Source organism: Homo sapiens, chromosome 2 (assembly GCF_000001405.40).
Source record: "Homo sapiens chromosome 2, GRCh38.p14 Primary Assembly".
Lineage (NCBI taxonomy): Eukaryota > Metazoa > Chordata > Mammalia > Primates > Hominidae > Homo > Homo sapiens.
In genome coordinates this window covers 55,713,597-55,719,587 of record NC_000002.12, presented here as the reverse complement: position 1 = coordinate 55,719,587, position 5,991 = coordinate 55,713,597, and the positions used below count along the sequence as shown (strand labels likewise).

The window sequence follows — 5,991 nt, the reverse complement described above, 5'->3', positions numbered from 1 at the left end:
AGTCCTATTAGGCGGGAGAGCTGGGATTAAAAGAAAATCCCAGGCTAGGGTGCAATGGCACAATCTCGGCTCACTGCAACCTCCACCCCCTACCCCAATAGGTTCAAGCGATTCTCCTGCCTCAGCCTCCCAAGTAGCTGGGATTACAAGCACTTGCCATCATGCCTGGCTAATCTTTTATATTTTTAGTAGAGATGGGGTTTCACCATGTTGGCAAGGTTGGTCTCAAACTCCAGATCTCAGGTGATCCACCCACCTCGGCCTCCCAAAGTGCAAGGATTACAGGCGTGAACCACTGCACCTGGCCATAAATTCTTAACTGACTCTCATGGTGCCGTCTATATGTGAATGGTCTATGGACTGGTGCCCCTGCTGAGACTGGTGAAAGACAAGTTCTCTTTAGAAACTTGAAGCAGGTAGAAAACCACCTTGACCCTGACTGCCATTTGCCTAAGGGTCTGAGACCTAGCCTGGAGGGAGTCTGTTCCTGATTCTTAGAGAGGGCACCAACCGATAAAACCTGAGCTCTGATTGCCCAAAAGCAGTTTGCCCTGTAAAAACCAAGTATCTAGCTTAGTGGGTCTCAAACGGTAGCATTCATCAGAATCACTCAGAGAAATTGTTCAAATACAGACCAATAGGTCCACCCTCAGAAGTTCTAATTCAATAGGTCTGGGGTGGGGCCCAAGAATTTGCATTCTAACAAGTTCCCAGGTGATGCTGACGTTGCTTGGTGGGGGGGCTGCCACTTTGAGAACCATTCGCATAGTCTAATGTAAGGCAGGACTCACAAGAGTGTCAGCGCCTTGCACCACATTCTGAAACTGAGAGTTTATCTCACCCTGGCCAACCCACCCCACCTCCACCTTCTATAAAGTGGTTCTAGAGTAGGTAAATAATGGAGAAGAAACCGTGCCTCTCAAACCTGCGATGAACCAGGACCAGAAATGTTTGCTGGAAAACAAAAACAATTGATTTGGGGGATGGTGGAAGTTTATTTTTTATTTTTTATTTTTGGAGGGAGTTTTGATTGCTGTCATTTGGGTAATTATTTTTAATATGAACCCCAAAGCTTTAAAATGTTGTTGCTACATTAATCCTAAAATGTTAGTTAAGTTCACCCACAAATATAAAACTTAAAATTCCATTTTACAGTTTGAGTTACAAAGGAGGTCGCAAAAACCTGAAGAGGTGAATTAAGCAACACCTGAGCGCCCTCTAGTGGGAAATGAATTCTCCTAGTGTCCAAAGGCTGCCAGTATGCTGAACAATAAATGAGATTTCCATTATTTTCTTTTAACTCTTTGAAGCTGGCGAATGGTTTGTGCATTAAAAACAAATATGAAGAAAAATGGAAGAAAGCTAAATTTTAGATCGTGTAAATATCTGTTACTCTTCGAATTTTCACCCACTAGTTTAAGCATCCATTGATGATTCTTGCTTGCCTCAATCAATTATTTATGATGGCAGAAAGTATCTTTACTTACATTATAGAATCCAAAGCACTTTAACAATCTATTAATTTATTAATATAGAATTCTAGTGAACTCTTGAGATTACCTCAAGTTGTAAATATTATGCTGGTCTCGTTTGAAAACACATAAGACTTTTGTAGAAATCACTGGTCTTGTGGCTGGGCACGGTGGCTCATGCCTGTAATTCCAGCACTTTGGGAGGCCAAAGAGGGTGGATCACCTGAGGTCAGGAGTTCGAGACCAGCCTGGCCAACATAGCGAAACTCTGTCTCTACTAAAATACAAAAAGGTAGCCAGTGTGGTGGCGGGCACCTGTAATCGCAGCTACTCAGGAGACTGAAGCAGGAGAATCACTTGAACTTGGAAGGCGGAGGGTGCAGTGAACCAAGATCGTGCCATTGCACACCAGCCTGGGCAACAAGAGCAAAACTCCATCTCAAAAAAAAAAAAAAAAGAAAAGAAAAGAAAGAAAGAAAAAGAAAGAACTGGCCTTGTTTCCATTTACTTGACATTTCGTAAAGCTAACTTTTGCACTTTGTAAAGTGTCTTGACCCACTACATGGATCTCTCTGGATTCAAATTAGTACAGCACGTACCTAAATGTTCAGAGCCAGATCTAGGGGTTCAGTATAAACCTGTTTTTCTATTAGACGCCTTTATTTCTATAGAGGCAGTACCATCTTCTCAATCCCTTGTAATCCAACCATCTTTAACCTTTGACCTGAGCCACACTCTCAAAGGCAATAATTTCCCGCTCTTCTTAGTCACTGGTCCCTCCTCTCCATTCCTGTTTCTGGCATCCTGGTGTAGTGTCCTGACTCCTCTCTGCCTTTAATTTTTCTACTTCTAATGTATCTTATATAATACCTGAGATTATTTTTCCTAAAGCATAGTCCCATTCAAAGTATTGCCTAATGCGAAGCCCAATGCGAAGCCCAGTGCTCATTAGAGACACAACCCCAGTGCCTTTCAGGACTTGGCTCCGACTTACCGTGGTAGCCACATCCTCCTCATCTGGCTTTAGCTTACTCTATAGTCACACAAACAGGAAGTCTCAGTTGTTCCCAAACAATATCCTGAGGGTGACTGTGCCTTCACTTGGACAATTCCCTCCCATCATATCCCCATATCCAAATCTTACCAATCCTTCAAGGCCTAGACCAATCCTTCTCTATGATTCTATCTTTCCTAATTCTGCAAACCAGAAATTATTTATCCTCTTCTGAGTCTTTTTTTATTTTATTCCTCTGAGTTCTATTTCTGTTTCCTCTGTGTCATTTATTACTTTCAACCTTGTATTACAGAACAAGGTGGTTAACAAGTACCTCAGACTTGGCATGACCAAAAACTGACATCATGGCCGGGTGCGGTGGCTCACGCCTGTAATCCCAGCACTTTGGGAGGCCAAGGCAGGTGGATCACCTGAGGTCAGAAGTTTGAGACCAGCCTGGCCAACATGATGAAATCCTGTCTCTACTAAAAATACAAAAATTAGCCAGGCGTGGTGGCGGGTGCCTGTAATCCCAGCTACTTGGGAGGCTGAGGCAGGAGAACCGCTTGAACCCGGGAGGCGGAGCTGGCAGTGAGCCGAAATCATGCCACTGCACTCCAGCCTGGGCAACAAGAGCAAAACTGTCTAAAAAAAAAAAAAAATGACATCATCTTCTCTCACACTCTAAATCTCTCAGAAACCTGGGAGTCATCCTGGAGTCCCCCCTTCCCCTCAGCCTTTACTGTAATCATAAACCAAATTCTGGATGCCCTGAACATCTCTAACATTCACACCCATTCTGCCCTCTTGCAATGCCCTAGTTCTTGTCATCCTCATCACTCATGGAACTACAGCAACTAGTCTCTTTCTTGTCTTCTGATCTTACCCCCTCAAGTTCACCCTCCACACTACCACAGGAGACATCTTGGAAATTCAGACCTTTACATCTCTCTCCTACTTAAACCCACCTATAGTTCTCCACTGCCTACAGAGTGCAGTCCCGGATCCACAGCACAGAATCACCCATCCTCTAGTTTTGCATCTTACCACTTTCCATCTACAGTTTACAGTACAGTAAGAGCAAACTGATTCCAGTTCCCTAAACACACTCTGCTGTTTTACAGTTCTCCACCTCTGTTCTGCCTGGGCTGATCTTCCCTTCAAGACCCCTCTTCCAGAACTGCCCCCATTGCATTACCCCAGGAGTGCTAGTCACACAGGATACAATGAGTCGGGCCAGGAGTGGCCTCTGGCATCCTCAGCTCCACTTCTGTACCTGGTGATGTCATTCTGGTTGAGTTCAAAATTCATCTTTCTCAGGAAGCTTTCCTGGAATTCTTCAGCAAGCAGAAGTCTGTGCACAGGGCTTCTATCATAGCACCTTGCCATGTTTGTTTGTTTGTTTGTTTTGAGACAGTCTAGCCCTGTCGCCCAGGCTAGAGTGCAATGGCGTGATCTTGGCTCACTACAACCTCTGCCTCCTGGGCTCAAGCGAGTCTCCTGCCTCAGCCTCCAAGTAGCTGGGATTATAGGCACCCACCCCCACGCCCAGCTAATTTTTGTATTTTTAATAGAGATGGGGTTTCACCATGTTGGCCAGGCTGGTCTCAAACTCCTGACCTCAAGTAATCTGCCCACCTCCGCCTCCCAAAGTGCTGGGATTATAGGCATGAGCCACCATGCCGGACCACCATGGTTTCTTTTGAAGCTACCTGGCTGTGTGTTTGTTTCTTTCATTAACAGAGTTAAGGGCAAAGTCCATGACTTACTAATCTTTATAGCTCCATCTCCTAGCCCAGTGTCTCATACATTCAATAAATGTTGGTTAAACTGAAATGCTGTGTTCATGCCATCTCACTTTCAGGACTGATTTTCTAGAGAGGAATTCTGACTTATAGTACATATCTTTACATCATCTATAGTCATCATACACAAAGCTGGCTAAATATCAGAATCTCCTGAAGAGTTTTTTTGTTTTGTTTTATTTTAAATATAGCTTCCTGGGCCAGGCACGGTGGTTCACACCTGAAATCCCAGCACTGTGGGAGGTCGAGGCAGGCAGATCATTTGAGGCCAGGAGTTCGAGACCAAAGTGACTGACATGGTGAAACCCTGTCTCTACTAAAAATACAAAAAAATTAGCCAGGTGTGGTGGCACACACCTGTAGTCCCAGCTACTCAGGAGGCTGAGGCAGGAGAATCGCTTCAACCTGGGAGGCAGAAGTTGCAGTGAGCTGAGATCATGCCGTTGCACTCCAGCCTGAGTGACAGAACAAGACTGTCAAAAAACAAAACAAAACAAAACAAACAAACAAACAAAATATATATAGGAATTGAGTGTATTACAAAGATGCCATTTCATATCATGGGGGAATGGATAGCAACCATTTCTCCAATAGTGCTAATTTTCATAATTTCCCTAGGCCATAATGTGATCAGTACTTTAATAATTTGATCGTGATACAGAACTGATGCTGACTACATGTATAAAAGCATAGGACACAAAGCCACTTTGCTGGAATGAGTGGCTACTCTAAGGTATTTATTCACCTGGGCAATGCGTTTGCTCTTACGTTTACCTTTGATGTTTACGAGGTATGCTGCAAGTAAAATTGCCAGGTCAAGGCCAAAGATTAAAGAAAAGAATAAGTGGAGGGAGTGGAATGTAATGAAAGTGAAGAAGTTTATTTTGTCAGTTTTAATATAATTTATTATTTTTAGCATCTAATAACTAAAGATATTTATATTCAAAATTCCTTTATTATTGAAATCCCTGCAGCAAAAATAACTTTGATACTGCCCCTCTAAAAATTCTCCAACTCCTAATTTCCTTAATCTCCGGAAACAATGGTTTTGATAATATACTTTTCGTAGTGATAAGCATCTTAGGAATGATACTATTGGCTTACAACAGAATAAGTTATATTTAATAAATAGTATTGCCTGACCTTATGGAACTTACAGATGAAGGGAAGAAGAAACCATTAAACAACATCAACATGACCAAACCTGAACTCACCTTTTTTCTCCCAAATCTAGACTTCTTCACATCCGTTTAAGAGAAGCATACCATGGCTTACTTGACTCTGGCCACTACATATTTCTCCAGCCTCATCTCTTGCCACTTTTTCCCTCAAACATTCCTTTCCAGGCCATGCGCCGTGGCTCATGCCTGTAATCCCAGCACTTTGGGAAGATGAGGCAGGTGGATTACCTGAGGTCAGGAGTTTGAGACCAGCCTGGCCAACATGGTGAAACCCCATCTCTACTAAAAATACAAAAATTAGCCAGGCGTGGTGGCAGGTGCCTGTAATCCCAGCTACTCTGGAGGCTGAGGCACAAGAATCACTCAAACCCAGGAGGCTGAGGTGGCAGTGAGATCGCGCCACTGCACTCCAGCCTGGGTGACAGAGCAAGATTCCGTCTCAAAACAACAACCACAAAAATTCCTTTCCAGATAAAATAAAATCACTTCACTTTTCTCACTTCCTGGTTTTTATATATGTGTTGCCTCTGCTTTAATCA

At 43.3% G+C, this 5,991-nt stretch overlaps 1 annotated feature.

Annotated features, from left to right (window-relative positions):
• Positions 2,355-2,547: a silencer, noted in NCBI's record as "fragment chr2:55944176-55944368 (GRCh37/hg19 assembly coordinates)". NCBI's record gives its function as "represses an EF-1alpha promoter that drives an FKBP-Casp9 reporter gene in an ReSE screen in K562 erythroleukemia cells {active_cell/tissue: K562}" and the evidence as "EXISTENCE:reporter gene assay evidence [ECO:0000049][PMID:32094911]".